The sequence below is a fragment of the Homo sapiens genome, chromosome 4, assembly GCF_000001405.40.
Source record: "Homo sapiens chromosome 4, GRCh38.p14 Primary Assembly".
NCBI classification, from domain to species: Eukaryota; Metazoa; Chordata; class Mammalia; order Primates; family Hominidae; genus Homo; species Homo sapiens.
The window spans coordinates 5,818,102-5,835,417 of NC_000004.12; the positions used below are offsets into that span (position 1 = coordinate 5,818,102).

Consider the following 17,316-nt stretch of genomic DNA (forward strand, 5'->3'; position numbering starts at 1 on the left):
CCCCATACTGTTCTTGTGGTAGTGAATAAGTCTCAAGAGGTCTGATGGTTTAGAAGGGGAAACCATTTTCACTTGGTTCTCATTCTCTCTCTTGCCTGCCATCATGAAGACGTGCCTTCTGCCATGATTGTGAAGTTCTAGCCACGTGGAACTGTGAGTCCATTAAACCTCTTTTTCTTTATAAATTACCCAGTCTTGGGTATGTCTTTATCAGCAGAGTGAGAACAGACTAATACACCAACAAATGCAGAGGGGCCAGAACCACCCCTTCCTGGGACATCAGAGCCAACAGTTAAGTGGTCTGGATTCCAAACTCATTTACTTAATGTCGATAGGTTGAAATTGGCCATGGCAAGAGACTTATGTTGAAACTTAATACCCAATGTGGCAGTACTGAAAGGTGGGGCCTGTTAGAGGTGATTGGGTCATGAGGGCTCTCCCTTCATGAATGGATTAATTCATTCATAGATTAATGTATCAGTGAGTCAGTGGATTAATGGGTTATCATGGGAGCGGGACCAGCAGCTTTATAAGCAGAGGAAGCGAGACCTGAGCCAATACACTCAGCCCCCTCACCATGTGATGCCCTGCACTGCCTTAGGACTCTGCAGAGTCCCCACCAGCAAGAAGGCTCTCACCAAATGCACCAGCACCACCCCAACCTTGGACTTCTCAGTCTCAAAGTCTGTAAGAAATGAATTCCTTTTCTTTATAAATTACCCCATCTCAGGTATTCAGTTACAGTGATGCCAAATGGACTAAGACAGAAAATCGGTAACAGAAGTGGGGTCCACAGAACTAGCAAACACTACAAACAAGGGCTTTCTACCCCACCCACCTTCACCCATTGTTCAACATTGATTTGGCAGCACACTTCTGGACCACTGAATCAGAAGGGTCAATCACCTGACTTACAACAAAGGCCCCACTGCATCTTAATGGGGGAAAGAATAGTCTTTGCAATAAATGGTGTTGGGTCAATGGGAGATCATATGGGAAATGGAGAACCTTCAGTCCTACCTTATATTGTACATAAAGATTATTGAGAGATGGCTCAGAGACCTAAATGTGAAAGATAAAACTTCTAGAAAAAACCCAGAAGACTACTGTGGTAGGCAGAATAACGCTCCCCGTCCCTGCCAACAAGATGACCACATCCTAATCCCTGGGCCTGTGAGTATGTTATGTCACATGGCTGGGAGAATTGGGTTGCAGATGAATGAATGAGAATAGCCTTCCCCTAAAACTTTCTGAGAAACTCTCTCTCCCTCCTCCCAAAATCTCAAGAGGTAAAAGGAAGTCACATGCCTTAAAAGGAGTGTTGCAGCTCAGTCTCCAAGAACTAAGGATTATCTGAGCTACCAGGTCTCCTGTCCCCTGTAACTGTGCCTCTTGGAGGCGCTGGGGAACCCAAAGTTCGACATGGGCTCTAGATTATGCTGGTTGGACAGTGGCTCCCATGACCTGGGAGTCAGGCAAGCACCCCGTCAGAGTCTGTCTTAGAGAAGGTGCTAGGGCTGCTTCTGCTTCCACTTCCACCCTGACAGGACTGAGGAGGCCAGGCCCAGAGAACAGGCTGGATAACTTCATCCTGCCAACTTTACTTTTCTGGAAGTTTCCCTTTAATAGTCCAAATGGGCCAAAGCCGAACATCAAAAATCCTTACCATCCGTTCTTGGTCTTTCCATCCAAAAATCCTTACCATCCATTCTTGGTCTTTCTCAGTAGTTAGTTAACCTTGTTTCAAGGAAGTCTATAACTGACCCTGAGCCAACACTTCTTTCAACCTTGACAAAGGTATCCACACGAAGCCGAGGAGCGGGGGAGGAGAAGGGTACATGAAAAGCCCTGCGTTGATGTGGGACCAGAGCATCCAAAGCCATCTGCCTCAAATGCCCTTGGAGCTCAGTAATTAGGAGCAAGGAGCTTTGGACTAGGGCCCAAAGTGCCTGGGTCCTGGATTCAAATCCTGGTTCCATCACTTCCTAAGTGTGTGATCCTAAACAAGTTATTGATCTCACTCTGAGTCAGTTTCCTCATCTGTACAATGGGGATAATAATCCCTACCTCATAGAGCACCTGGCATATAGCAACTGCTATACAGCTATCAGCCCATGTATTTGTTGTCATTACCAGCAACTTCATCACTATCACCAACACCACCATCATCATCACCACTATCGTCACCATCATCACCATCACCACCATCATTACTGTCACCACCATCATTGTCATCACTATTACTAACAACAGCTAATGGAAGCAAGCAACTTTGCCTGCTGTTTTTATCCGTCCTTTAGTGTATCTCTAGCTCATGGAAATGGAAGGAAGAAATGTGAAGTTTAGGAGATTGGAGCTTCCAGTCTGAGGCTGATCCATACAATACAAGAAGAAAGAGAGCCAGGAAAGGCCCAACAGGAGGGAATCAATGCAAGATTTGAGCCTATTTTGTGGAAGCCCGCCCATCAGCCGTCTTCCCTCTCTTCGCCTCCTTGGGTCTCAGGAACTCAGCCTTCAGAAGTCATGAACTGAATCTCTCCTCCCACCCCCACATCCACCAGTCTCTACCAAGAGTGAGTCCTCAGGAAGCAGCCACCACCATTCGTTATCACGCGGGGGGACTGCCAAGCATTCGTACCCAATCCAGACACCACCACTGAAATGAAAGTGCCCTAGTCAGGTCAGTGGGCAGTTCATTTTCTTTATTTTTTCACAAGCTTTGAATTCAGAAATAAGAGCCACAACAAGTTGGTTGTTAAGTAAAAATGGGAGTGATTACAAAGGAAAACTTTGTACAAAACTTTAAAAATCTGACTGCCCCGTCAACTGCCTCAGAGGGACCAGGACTCAGGCCACGCAGGGGCAGCCATCAGCCCCCCATCGTCAGCCCCGAATGGGGATGGGGAGACCTCTTTCTGAGTGTGAACCTGGCTCGGCCTGAAGCCTAGAGCTGGCTTGAAGAACACACACAGACCAGAAGACAGCACGGTGAGTTACAAGTGCCACGGAGACCAGGGTTTCTGACACAGGATGTGGAGGATGCTTCTCTGCAACCTAGTGCAAGGCTTCCCCTGCCATTCCGAGAATTCACGGATCTCACAGGTGGAGGTGGGGCGAGCTTCTTTCTAGTGTGGACCAGAGGTGGGGGCAATGAGTAAACATCTTCACTGTAAGGGTTTTGGGACTGCCCCTCAGGGCTTGAGGTCTCGGCATCGTGTCTCAGTCAGTCCTTGGCGATGTCCCCTCAGACGCACTCACAGACTTGCATACGTAATTTAGTAACATGCATCAACTATCCTAGAACATCTACAGGGTGCAAAGGAACCACCACTCAGAGAATCATGGAGCCAGTGGAGTTAGAAGTGGAAGGGACAGAACAAGACAATGCTAAAACCTGTGGTTCACTAGGAAGGGGGAATGAAAACACCATGCTCCGAGGTGGATTCAGCATGAACACAACTGTGGGGCAAGGAATTTCCAAGCAAACACACCACACTAGTACCACTTCTTCCTAAACAGAAAAGGGAAAGAGCATCCTTCGACTTCCCCCTCCCTCCATCAGCACCAACTAAAACTGTGGGTTTCAAAAACACTGACAGGAAAAGGGATGGACATGATTCCCAGAATCCTTCAGGCTAGCTCCTCCGCGCATCCACGTTCAACCGAGGCTGGTGATGTTGGAGCGGCCACCAGGGGGCGCCACGATGCGGTGGCCGGTGCGCCTGGGATTGTTGTCATCTATCTGGGCACCTGAAAGAGAGCGCCAATCGCTGCTGGATGGGATCTGTTAGCATCAGTTCCACGCTGCTCCTGGAGGCCATGTACTCTGCCATGCACTCCACTGGACCCACCTTCATTCAGGGCTCAGTCCAGGACCAGCCATGGGAAGCCTCCCTGGCCTCCACAGAGTCCACTGCTCCCTCTTCTGTGCCCCTCAGTCCCTGGGCTCCCCCCACCTTCAGCCCTGACCACCTTGTGGTGTTCTTGTCAAAATCCCCAGTAAAATCCGACATTCCTGAGACAGGTGATCAAACACTTACTGAGTGCCTACTGTGTGCAGGCGCACATTTGGTGCTTTAACATGTTACTGCATTTAGGGCACACAATCATACTATGAAGGGGGTGTTTGTACTCCCAACTTACGGGTGAGCAATTTGAGGTTCAGGCCACGTGTCTTGCGGGACACAGGTGTTGGGTGGGGAAGCCAGGATTGAAGCCCAAACTGGTTGGTTTTCAAAGCCCATGATCTTAGGCACACTGTCCCACACTCCAAAGGTATTTTACATATTGTGTGTGTACACATTTGTATATGCATGTGCATATGTGTGTGCATGTGCATGTGAACTCCGCAAGCTGGATTTACTTCCCTCATTGGCGATAGGTGGATCTGAAGGGGGGGGGGGTGGTGTGCAGAGGTTCTTAATTTTAATCTTTCAAAACCAACCATCCATTCTACTTTTACCTATTCTCTTGCATAAAGATGTAAAATTCTAGCAGCAAACCCAGTGCCTGGAGCTCAACAAATATTTATTAAATGAGTAAATCATGAAGGGTGGATAATGCTGAAAGGTGGGAAGGATAGAGTCCTTATCAGGGAGGGGAAGTTGAGCCGGCGGAACTGAGGAAAATCAAAAAGAGAAAGCAAATAAGCTGTAAGTCTGCCTTTCTTCATGGTCTACAACACAGCCTTCCTGTACTCAACTTATCACCAGATCCTCAGCTAACAGAAAAACGTAAGTAAGTTAGCTCACTGCAACCACAGCATTATCAGTACTGCACAAAGCCCTCTTCGGCACACAGCACAAGCACCATCCTATAAAATCTCCAGCAAGCCTTTGTTTCCTTGCAGTCGGCTCCTTTCTTGCTGACCTACCCACTGTACCCTTTCATACTTTTTCTAATACATCTGACTTTCTTTACCGACAACTGTCTTGGTGAATTTTTTTTACTAGCTGCAGAACACTGGCCCCAGGTAGTTGTCACCTGCAACAGGAAGGAGACTCAAGTTTCAGTGCTAATCATGCCTTGAATTTGGGCAATTTGGAGTAAGACACCACCCCACTCCCTTGGCCTCATTTCCTTTTCTGCACAATAAGAACAGTAGACTAGATGAGCCCCTTCCAACTCCAACATTACATGATTTGTCTATGTAAGCCACTAAGAATTTGGTTCACAGTAGTGACTTTTCTTTTCTCCCATTGTTTCACTGGTAGACAATATGTCTTCTTGCAATACAAGTCTCCCCTAAAGGCCTGGAATCAGGCCTAGCACTTAGTAACTTTTTCCTTACAACCATCTGTACCTTGCTGGTTGCATGTCTGTACTTTGAAAATACCTGCTGGAAAAAAGGACACTAATATGGTTTGGACTTTTGTCCCCCAAAACTTCGTGTTGAAATTTGATCCCAAAGTTGGAGGTGGGGCCTAATGGGAGGGGTTTGGGTCATGAAGGACAGACCACTCATGAATGGCTTGGTGTCAGCCTTACAGTAATGAGTAAATTCTTGCTCTATTAGCTCTCGGAAGAACTGGTTGTTAAAGAGCACCTCTGCCTTCTTCCTCTGTTGCCATGTGATCTCTGCACACGCTAGCTCTCCTTCGCCTTCTGCCATGCTGGAAGTAGCCTGAGGCCCTCACCAGAAGCAGACGCTGGCACCGTGCTGCTTGTACAGCCTGCAGAGCCGTGAGCCAAGTAAACCTCTTTAATTACCCAGCCTCAGGTAATCCTTTATAGCAATGTAAATGGACGAAAACAGACACTAACTCATGGTACAGCTCTATAACGTAACATACGCAGATATTAAAAAGGGCATCTGTGAGGTTGTTATGATGTTGGAAAGCATCTGTGTTGTTGGTACCAAATGAAGTCACCTATCAACCTGCCAAGAGGCTGGCTGACAGCAGTGGTGCTGTGGGCCTCAGGAGGACTAAGAGTGAAACTGAGAGAACAAGGGTGAGGAGGGGCCCTTCCAGGTGGCTTTTAACTTCATTGTTATTCTTGTTCTAAGAACAACGGGGAGGAGGATTTTCTGTCCATGTTTAATTGCAATTGTGCAGTGTTTAATTGCATAACTCCAGAACAGTGGTCCAGTTTGCAAACTCCTTGAGAGCTTGTGTCTTGTTGCACCCAGATAGCTTTTTCCCAGGATGAAGCCAATCCCTGGTTTGCTGATTGAGCATCACATGACTTTTAGCATTCTATTTAGGGTCCATTTTGTGCAAAAATATGAAACACTGGAAGCTCTTCCATCAAAGTCTTATGGAGAGTGAGATGAATGGGGAGGCCTCCTTGATTCATGCCTCCTCGGCATAATCACTGAATCAGACACTTCCTGAATGGATAAGAGGTTCTGCCACCACACAATCTGAATTCACACGTCATCCTCTCTCTCTCTCTCTCTTTGCCCCTTCCACTCTCTCTTTTGCTAAGCATATCGCCTTTCCTGACCAGGAATTAGCAAACGGGTCCATTGACCAAATCCGGCCCACCGCCTGTTTCTGTACGATCCATGACCTGAGAATAGTTTGTACATTTTCAAATGGCTATTGAATATAACATCCTAGATGTTGACATCCTAGATGTTGCCTCTTAGCTTACAAAGCCTAAAGTATTTACTATCCGGCCTTCTAAGAAAAAAAATCACCATACTCTTAGTACCCAGCACGGTGTGCAACCCATGCAACGCCTCAAAGAGTTTGCAGGACAAAATTCCAGTTCAACTTTCTCAACGTGTGCGTGCCTGCCCTCATGTGGCCATCTCACCAAATCACAGATACACTGCCCTGAGACCTTAAGAAAGTCAGGAGGGATCAGGTCAACATCTAATTTTGTTCCCACACATTTGTTGAGCACCAAGTCCTGGTATTTTGACACTGGATTTCTTGGGGCTTCCGTTTCCTCTTTAAATAAATAGGGTATAATGTTACTTTATGGAGTAGTGAGGATAAAATAAAATCATGGGTTATGAAAGTGCTTAGTACACTGCAGTGGGTGAACAGGCTAAAGACTTACACAGAGCACATGCCCTGCAAATGGCAGCTACTCCCATCTCTTGTTCATCCCCACCACTCCATGTTTACTTTCATGAGGAAGAGTGTGAAAGTGTCCCCAAATGTGTGTAAGGATGAGCACTGGGACAATTTTGGTACCTCTCTTTGTAAACCCACATCAGGTACCACCATGTTGCCCCCCTAACATGGACCCCCCTCTGCTTGGTGACCATGCCAGCCCACTCTGCCCCACCAGTGAGAGCAGGCTCGGGTGGGGCACACTCCCTTCCCTGCTTCTTCATCTAGTGTCCAAGGCCACGTGTCCATTTCCTCAGAAGCAGCAGGAAGGACTCGGCCTGAACTGCTGCAATTGTGGGGAGCCTGGGCCACCACTCTTTCCTACCTGATAAGCTGAAGTTGGACTGGTGGAGGTTTCTGATGGGTGGGGGCTGGTGTTTAGAAGGCGAAGATTTGGCTGAAGGAGCGGGAGTTGCATATTTGGGTGTAGCTGGTACCTCGTACACAGGACCGTCATACATGCCCCTGGAAACCCCTTGCAATCCAAAAACCTAAACAGAGGAAGGGAGAGTGTGATTGATCGACACTGTGCATGTGTGCCCTTCTGGGCAGATAAAGCAGAGCCCTGCGGGCGAGAGAGAAACCTGAGGTCACTTCAAATGTGCATGCACACACACACACAACACGCACACACGACAGGTGCACTTCACACACATGCAGCCGCACACAGGCATTCATACACACAAGCATGCATACACACACATCTACATACCCACATGCATACACATACAGACGCACACACCACGCACACGCACTCACATACATGCAGTCATGCACACATATATGCATGCACATGCAGTAACAAAACAGGCCTACACAGTAGCATACACGCGTGAACACGCACACACACTTAAATCACATACAGATCTTCACAAAGGCATACTCACATATGTATACACATGCATACATGCCCACACACACACTCATACAGGTATACACACCCATATATACACTTACACACACGCATACTCATACACACAAAGCTTCATGCAGGAGGACCCCAAATCCCTTCCAAAGAGAAGTCACTTTGCCTGACACTACCACCTACCCACCCCCGGAAAGGACCCCTGAGTCCCAGACAAGGCAGCAGCAACGGGCCCATCTTCATGTATGTTCTTGTAGAAGTCAACAGCGAGGCAAAGATTCGGGGGGCAGATAGTTTGTTGGGAGATGGTTCCAGAAAGGGGGAAGGAGTGGGGAGCTGAGACAGGGAGGGAGAAAACTCAGTACAGAGGGACAAGGAGTGGGCCAGGTCTATGGGGGGCAGGGCTGGGGATGCTGTGGGGAGGACACCTCCACACCAGCCTGCAGGAGGACGAGGAAGGAGGGCAATGGAGCCACAGCCCTAGCCCCACTGGGAAAGGGTTGTGGGGGCAGAGACCCTGAAAGCAGCAGGGCTTCCAGGCAGGAGGCTGTCAGCCTGCTGGGAACTGCTGACAGCAGCCCAGGTGACCTCAGGGATGGCCAAGGTTGGGAGGGCACCTGCTCCAGGCACTGGAGAACAGCATGTGTTCAGGGACCTGTACAGGGTCCCAGCATGAGTCAGTGGCAGTGCCCTAACCCAACACGGGGCTTCATCCTCCATATCAGGTGACAGTGCCCTGACCCCAGGCCTGGCTCCCTCCTTCTCTGCAGGTGATAGCACCCTGACCCCCAGCTCTGGGCTCCTGTCTCTCCATAGGAGGAAGCCTTAATTTTAGCACCAAGTTTAAAGACCCAGCACCTGCACATCATGTCAACGGCCCTCCCCTCTGTCCCTGGAGCCCTGCTCCCCGACTCCCTGGGCCTCACTGTATCCTGTGCATTCTCTGTGGCTGTGGCATTGCTTCCTGGGTGAGGCCGTTCATCACTCCCTGAAGCTCAGGTGGCCAGAGGCAGGCTCTGATGCAGGTCTCTCCTTCACCTGGTCTAGCTCCTGCAGGCATGAAGGAATCCCTGTGCAATGGGACCCCCCGATCCTATTGCTCCTGCAAATTGCTGTCTTGGCATTTGGGGTCAGATATCTGCCCTCACGGAAGCTGACTGTTAACCGCAGGCCTCAGCTTCAGACCAAGAAGGAAATGAAGCCAGCCAAGGGGTGTGTCTGCCTCTTCAGTGGGTGTCCCAGCCAGGGATTTCCATGAGTCCCCTTGTCCTCATATGGCCTGCTGCCTGTGCCTGGCCTTGTCTCGGATCTGACTTGTTTCCACCCCATCCCTTGTTTCCCCATCCAGTGCAAAGCATCTGTGCGACTTGGTGTCTTTGACCTGGTGCTACACCTTATGGAAGCTGGGGAGAGACCAAAACCAGATGCAGAGCCTCCCAGTCCGGGCTGGAGCCTGGGAATGCAGGAAGGTCTCTGGACTTCTCCATCTCAATTGGTCACTTAGGAAGCATACAAAGAACAGGACCACACAGGTACACACATGGCCACACACACAGAGCTCACCACATGCTCGCATACACACACGCGCACACACACACACTCCAACACACGCACACACATCCCCATATGCACACATACACACGTGCATGCATGTACACATGCACACATGACACGCATAGACATACACACATGTGCGCGTGCACACACACACACACACACACGAAGCTGGCCTTTCTGGCAAACATCAGCTGTCTCATGGGGAAAGCAGCTGCCATGGGGATGGGAGGGCCTGGCTGGGGAAGATGTTGGCCACGGGCGGGAGTCTCTCTCAGCTGTGAGAAAGTTCCCTCCTCTGAGTTGCTCTAAAGTTAGGAATAGAGCCTGCTCCTTCCCTTTGACAGATGTCCTGAGGTCAGTGCTAAGGTTGTTCAAGGAAAATAAGGAACGACAGGGCAGAAACGTCAAGGGAGGAAGGAAAGGAAGAAAGGGCGGATCTGAAGGAAGCCCTGCCTGCAAGATGCCAGGGGTAACACCTTGCTCCACAGGGCCAGACCCGAGGGTTTCTGAGCCGTGACTCTGGCTAAGCCCTTCACTGCTCTGGGCTGCAAAAGGAGGATCACAGCACCTCCCGTGGGTGGGCAGGATTACTTAAGATGACGCAGGACAGCGCCCAGAGCAGCTTGGTAAGCGTCCCTCCCATGATCCACCCACCCTCACGGGTGCACACCCCTCTACAGTTTGCAAAGCCCTGGAACTTGCATGTCCTCATTTGATGCTCACTCCTGTCCTCAGACAGGAGCCCAGGCCAGCGTCTCAACCCATTTAACAGATAAGGAAACGGAGGTTCCCAGGGCGATGACATTATTAACTCTGCACACGTCAGATCTCGATTCCCCAAGAGACGCTGTCGGCTCTGGTCCCACGGGTGGGCCCGCTCCCCTGCAGACACACTCACCTTATTCCTGATTTTGACGCGCTGGTACAGGTGCTCCGGGAACGCCTTCCGCGGAATGAAGCGGCCCATGCCCTTGTTGACGTTGATGTTTCCGTCTTCAAAGACGATCTTGCCCTGGCTGATGACCACTAGTGGGGAGCCGTGGCACTCCATACCCTCGAAGATGTTGTACTCCACCGCCTGCACCAACAGCCTCAGTGTTACTTCCCAGGATTTGCTCTGCCCCAAACGAGCTGTTCATAACAGCGATTTTGCCTAACATTATATCATAAGCGTGTTCCAATGTTTTTTTTTCTCTCTAAAAATACCTTTTATTGACTGTAATATTCCACTGTATGGTCCACAGTGTATATAACCAACAACTCACCGTTGCGCATGTAGGCTGCCGGTGGCTTTCTATAATCAAATCAATATTGTTCTGGGGCATCACAAAGAGGAAGGGGGTCCCCCGGGGTTATGCAATGTGGCTGCTTTGACTGTACTGGACATAAAAATAAGTAAAATGTTCTTCATTTTACTTAAAATGTGTCTTTAAATAAAATTTTTTTCTCTAGGTTTCTAAAATCAAATTACTGGGTGAAAGAATAGAGCTGTTTTAAAGCACGTGTGCCATATGGCCAAATTATTTTCCCAAGGGTTCAGATCAATTGACACGATATCGGCACTTACCCCCTCCAGCATTGGGTAATGCCATTTTTTTCTTTCTCTGCTAATTTGAAAGACAAAATAACATTTCCTTTAAAACACACATTCGGCCGGGCACGGTGGCTCATGCCTGTACCCCCAACTACTCGGGAGGCTGAGGTATGAGAACTGCTTGAATCTGGGAGGTGGAGGTTGCAGTGAGCCGAGATCGTGCCACTGCACTCCAGCCTGGGGGACAGAGCGAGACTCTGTCTCCAGAAAAAAACAAAACAAAAAACTCACCTTCTTTCCATTATTCTTCAAGTGAATACTTGACAGTTGTGTGTCAACTGTCACCAGCCAACTGCTTTTTATTATTTTAAAAGTAGGTCACATACATGGTTGAAAACAATCAACTGGTAAAAAAGATATTGGATAGAAAGGTAAGTCTGTGTTCTACTTGAGTCTGAGACATATGCCCTGAAGAGTTTCTTCTGTATCTCTAAGTATGTCCGAGGCATGAATAACTGTCTGACATATACACATCTCTACACAGACATTTCTCAGCTTAATTTTTCTTTACCTCAGCAATTGTTCCATATCAGCACACATACAAAATACTTTTACACTGCTACATTTCATCAGGAGGATGTACTACCATTTATATGCCCAGTTCCCAAGAATAAACAGTTGGGTCATTACCATGCCTTTGCTAAAAACTGCTGAAACAGACTTTGCATCCACAGTCTGCACACGTGAACATGTTTCTAGATGTGGAGTTGGGGGCCAAAGAGTAAATGGATTTTCATCTTTGACAGATTTGCCCTCCAAAAAAGACAACACTAGTTTCCATTCCCAACAAAACTCCGTGAGCTTACCTGACAGCCTTTGGTAAACAGTATCTATGTATATTAAACTCCTGATCTCAGTTGCTGGCACAGGTGAAAAATACTATCTCTAGGTGGTTATTTGCATCTGTGACTGAGACTGGGTCTCTTTTTAAATCAACACATGCCATTTCTATATTTATTTCTTACGGTGTCACTGTGTTTTGCACATTATTCTATTTCTCAGGGTCTTGGCATTCTTCTTACTGATTTCTAAAAGTACACACTCAATGTTAAAGAATTTATCCTTTGTTATGTGTGTTGCAAATATGTCCTCCCTCCCTGGTCCTCTGTCTCTGGAACTCAAATGAAGTAATTGTTTTTGCCACACAGATTATTTTGTATAATTTTTGTGTAGTCAGTGGTCAAACAGACCATTCTTTACCATTTCTAAGTTTTGTGTCTTGCTTAGCAAGATCCTTTCCCCTTCAAAATTATCATTCTTTCAAAAAATGTGTGTTGTATTCTAGTCCTTTCATAGCTTTATTTTATCTTAATCTTTGAACCATGGTTTGATTTGTTTGATAGTAAATAGTAGGGCAGAGGTTAAGCCTCTTGGGCCAGGTGTTCTAACACAATTGGATGAGTAACTATCGTTTCCTAATTCTAATTGTCTCCTTTATTGTAAACCAAATTCTCATATGCAGTCAGTCTATTCCTTGGCTCTCTTTTCTTGTACCCCTGCCAAACTGTTTGGTTTATTGCAGCTTTATGACACGTTTTAATAACTGGGATGACTGATACCCCCGGGCCCAGTCTTCCCTTTTTTCAGAACTATTTCAGCTACTCTCACATTTCTCATCTGGGAACTCTGCTTTCCTAGCTAAACAATTAAATTTTCTGATGGGATCACATCAAGTTTATAGATTAGATTAGAAAGAATTGATATGTTCACTATATTGGATCTTCTCAGTGTAAAAGTCCCTGAATTTATGTAAGTCTTTAGTTTTTTATTTTTGTTTGTTTGTTTGGTTGTTTTGAGACAGGGTCTCAGTCTGCAGTGCAGTGGCACGATCATGGCTCACTATAGCCTCCAAGTCCTGGGCTCAAGCAATCCTCCTGCCTCAGCCTCTCAAGTAGCTAGGACTACAGGCATGCACCACCATGCCTAGTTAATTTTTTTATTTTTTTGTAGAGGCAGGGTCTCACTATGTCACCCAGTTTGGTTTCAAACTCCTAGCCTCAAGTCCCCCTACCTGAGCCTCCCAAAGTGCTGGGTTTACAGGCATGAACCACCACGCCAGGCCAAGTCTTTAGTTTTTATTGCTATTACAGGATTTTGATTTCCATTCTATTTTCCAAAGTGATTTTTGATTCTTCCATAGAAAAACTATCAATTCTTTATATTGGTTTGTAATCTGATGGTGTTTGATGATTTTTAGGTGCATTCTTGGGGGTTCCAGGCAATCACGTCTCCTACACACAGCTGTTGACACTGTGCCAGCCTCGCAGGACCCAGGCAGACAGTGCGTTTCCAGTGTTAGCATTTGCTAACCTAATTCTCCCTCACCCTAAAGTGGCTCCACTATGGAGTGATTCATAACTGTGCCGAGGGACACATGGATTGTGAATGCGGAGGGGCGGTGCAAGGAACCAGTCACCCATCTCCCAGCTGAAACTGGCCAGCCCTTGGGGACCTGGGCTGCTGTCCCTACTCCTGGGTGAGGAACGTGCTGTGCTTTGGTGAGAATCTCAAGCTGCAGAGGTGTGAGGAGGCCCTGGTCATATCACAAATGCCACACCCTGCATTTCACAAGAACACTGAATTGTAAACATCAATTCCTTCATTTCTTAAAGGTAACATACAAACAATGTAAAAATTTAAACAACACAAAACACCATGATGAAAAAACCTCTTGCCATCCATGAGCCCCATTTCCCTGGTCCCCTCCAGGGAGAACTGGTTTCTTTTATACCCTTTAAAGAGCAGCCACTCAAGCTCATGTGTGCATAAACTAAACGTGGTCCATCCCTACAAGGGGGTATTATTCAGCCATCAAAGGAACATGGTACCCATCCATGATATAGCACGGATGATCCTCAAAAATATGATGCTAAGTAGAAGCCAGACATAAAAGGCCACATATTGGATGATTCCATTTATATGAAATGTCCAGAATAGGCAAATCCATAGAAACAGAAAGCAGATTAGTGGTTGCTAGGGAATGGGGGTGAGAGAGAGGGACTGATTGTTCATGGGTACAGGGTTTCTTTTCTGGAGGTGATGAAAACATTCTGGAATTATGATTGTACAACCTTCTCAATATACTAAAAGCCACTGAATTGTACACTTCAAAATGGCAACACTTATGGTATATGAATTATATCTCGATAAGAAACTTAAAAACATCCAGATAGTCTATGATATACAAACATGTATGCATACCCATGATGTGGCACTTTGATGTGAATGTTTTCCACAAAGATAGGAAAGAATAAAAGTTGTGTTTTATAGAAAAGTAGATTTAAAATCTAATCACTGGTCAATATATAAGGAATGATCTCTTTTCATTGTTAAAAGTAACATTTTTTTAAAACATATAAAAACAAAACGAACCTCTAAGCATTTCTCAATCCATGTTCTGAAAAAATTGCAATTATGTGGATGGCATTGCTTTGGACAGAGAAAATGAAACAGACAAAATCCTTTGGTCAAACCACCTCACGGAATCCTCAACTGTCCTCTTGCTGCTATGAAAAGAATTCAAATCTTGCCTCACACAGAGAGGGGATGCTTCCCCAAGTTTACCCTGAAGACAGTTACCTCCCAGATGGGTAACCTTGGGTATATTACATATTGTTATGGGTTGAATCGTGCTCCCAAAAAAGACGTGTTGAAATCCTAACCCCCATTACCTCAGAATGTGACCTTATTTGGAAACAGAGATTTTGCAGGTATAATTAGGTAAGATGAGGTCACATTGGGGTGTGGTAGGCGCAAAATCCAATGACTGGCATCCATAAAAGGAGAAGACACAGCAGAGAGGGCCACGCAATGACAGAGGCAGATGATGTAAGGGATGCCTTACCCGCCATGGAAGCAAGTACTGCTGGGGACGTCAGACGCTAGAAGAGTGGCCTGGAAGGGGTCTGCCCCCAGAGCCTTCAGAGAGAGCATGGCCTGGCCAACACCTTGGTTTCAACTTCTACCTTCCAGAACTTTTTTTTTTTTTTTTTTTTTTTTTGAGACGGAGTCTCGCTCTGTCGCCCAGGCTGGAGTGCAGTGGTGGGATCTCGGCTCACCGCAAGCTCCGCCTCCCGGGTTCACGCCATTCTCCTGCCTCAGCCTCCCGAGTAGCTGGGACTACAGGCGCCCGCCACTACGCCCGGCTAATTTTTTGTATTTTTAGTAGAGACAGGGTTTCACCGTTTTAGCCGGGATGGTCTCGATCTCCTGACCTCGTGATCCGCCCGCCTCGGCCTCCCAAAGTGCTGGGATTACAGGCGTGAGCCACCGCGCCCGGCCCCAGAACTTTTAAGAGATGAAATTTCTTTTGTTTAAACCACCCAACCTGTGGCACTTTATAACAGCGTCCAGAGGAAACTTACACATGTGTCCTCTCTCTCTCTCCATTTTCTCATTTATCAATAACAATATACCTAACTTAGAAGATCGTGAGGATTAAATGAGATGATGCATGGAGAATGCTAAGCACGAAGTAACTACAAAACAGTATTTGGCTGGATTGTGATGATAATCAGAGTGCCCACTCCTGAGCATGGAATCTGGTGTGGCCTCTGATCCCACACTGAAATAGTAAGAGGCTGGGTGCGGTGGCTCACACCTGTAATCCCAGCACTTTGGGAGGCCCACACGGGCGGATCACGAGGTCAGGAGATCGAGACCATCCTGGCTAACATGGTGAAACCTGTCTCTACTAAAAATACAAAACAAAATTAGCCGGGCGTGGTGGCAGGCACCTGTAGTCCCAGCTACTCGGGAGGCTGAGGCAGGAGAATGGCGTGAACCCGGGAGGCGGAGCTTGCAGTGAGCCGAGATTGCGCCACTGCACTCCAGCCTGGGCAACAGAGCAAGACTCCATCTCAACAACAACAAAAGGAATAGTAAGACAATCCCAGCTCAGTCTACTTCCTTCTGGGTCCTTGTCCGCCGACCTTTGACTGGCTGACACAGACATTCACGTTCCTTTCTAGATAAGGATCACCTTGTGAAGCAAGGGGCAGCTCCCACAGCCAGATGGCGGTAGGAGTGCACACCCTGTGCTATGGTTGGAATATCCCCTCAAAATTCAACTGGACATTGACTTGCCATTGCAATGGTATTAAGATGTGAGACCATTAAGAGCTGATTAGGTCATGAAGGCTCTGCCCTCATTAATGGTTAATGCTATTATCACAGGAATGAGTTAGTTATTGTGAGACTGGGCTTGTTATAAAAGCAAATTCAGCGTCCTCTTGATACTTCTTTCACACTTGTCCTGTCTTATCCTTCTGCCCTCTGCCATGGGATAACTCAGCAAGAAGGCCTTTGCCAGATGCCGGCATTTTAATACTGAAATTCCCAGCCTCCAGAACCGTGAGCCACATAAATTTATTTTCTTATAAATTACCCAGTCTGTGGTATCTATTACAGTAGCACAAAATGGACCAAGACACCCTCTCACTGGCAAGACCCTCTCAGACGCTCTCCCATTGCCTCTCCTATGTGCACAGACCCCAAGCAGTGTGTACACACGTGAAATAATTCATAATAAATAATAGAATTGCAAGCCCTGCTGGACTGTACATGTGCGTGGCATAAACCTTTCTCCATGGGAAGATGATCTCAGGCACCCCGTTCCCTGGAGATGGGGGCTGTGGGAAGCAAGTAGTGTTACCAGGGAGCATTGTGTATTATAAGAATGACCTGGATTGGTGAGCCGGACAAGGTCAGTGAGCAGCTACCGAGACCTCTGCTTCTGCAGGCCATGTCTGTGGCAGCCAATGGATACTCCAGGGCCATGGCCGTGAGCTGCTACAAGTGTTTCCTGTGGCTTTCTTATGAAACTTCCTTGTGCCTCATGTCCTGTCCCCACACCTGTGGTCTCCTTCTCCAGTATGTGAGCCCATACTCCTTCTCCAGTATGTGAGCCCATACTCCTTCTGCAGTATGTGAGCCCATAGCCCATGGGGCCATGGGAACACCCACTGCAGCTCCATCACGGTGTGCACATGCACTACTTCTGGCCTGTGTGCTTGCACAGACTCCAGTGAACCAGGGACCACTGTGGCCTCTTGGGTCTGTGCGTGTAGTTGTTAATCCAGACCCAAGGCCACTCTTGGCCATGCAGGAGGGTGTTAAAGCAAGCCCTTCAGGGAGGCACAGTTGTCTTCTGCCATCTCTGCATGCACCCTCTCTGTGCACGCATCTTTGGTAGGTTGCTGGATGAGTGGAGAAATCAAAGGCATATAAGATAC

The 17,316-nt window shown here is 47.4% G+C and overlaps 2 protein-coding genes across 47 annotated transcripts in view; one reads left to right on the plus strand and one right to left on the minus strand.

Moving 5' to 3' along the window:
• The window catches only part of EVC (EvC ciliary complex subunit 1), a 117,857-nt gene extending 106,901 nt beyond the window's left edge, over positions 1–10,956 (plus strand). For 4 of the 41 annotated variants that reach the window (XM_047449769.1, XM_047449800.1, XM_047449808.1 and 1 more), the window contains 3 exons: positions 110–5,719; positions 9,281–10,115; positions 10,418–10,956. The gene's annotated coding sequence lies outside the window, so the exon portion shown is untranslated. Of the gene's footprint in view, positions 1–109; positions 10,116–10,417 lie in introns of all 41 variants that reach the window. The other 37 variants (XM_047449775.1, XM_047449801.1, XM_047449787.1 and 34 more) reach the window with 32 other exon arrangements.
• Positions 2,663–17,316, minus strand: part of CRMP1 (collapsin response mediator protein 1) — a 72,323-nt gene continuing 57,669 nt past the window's right edge. For all 6 annotated transcript variants that reach the window (NM_001014809.3, NM_001288661.2, XM_047449629.1 and 3 more), the window contains 3 exons: positions 10,388–10,567; positions 7,393–7,558; positions 2,663–3,750 (listed from right to left, as the gene is read on the minus strand). In NM_001014809.3, the coding sequence (NP_001014809.1) occupies positions 3,659–3,750; positions 7,393–7,558; positions 10,388–10,567 (438 nt within the window). In that variant the 3' untranslated portion in view covers positions 2,663–3,658. The remainder of the gene's footprint in view (positions 3,751–7,392; positions 7,559–10,387; positions 10,568–17,316) is intronic.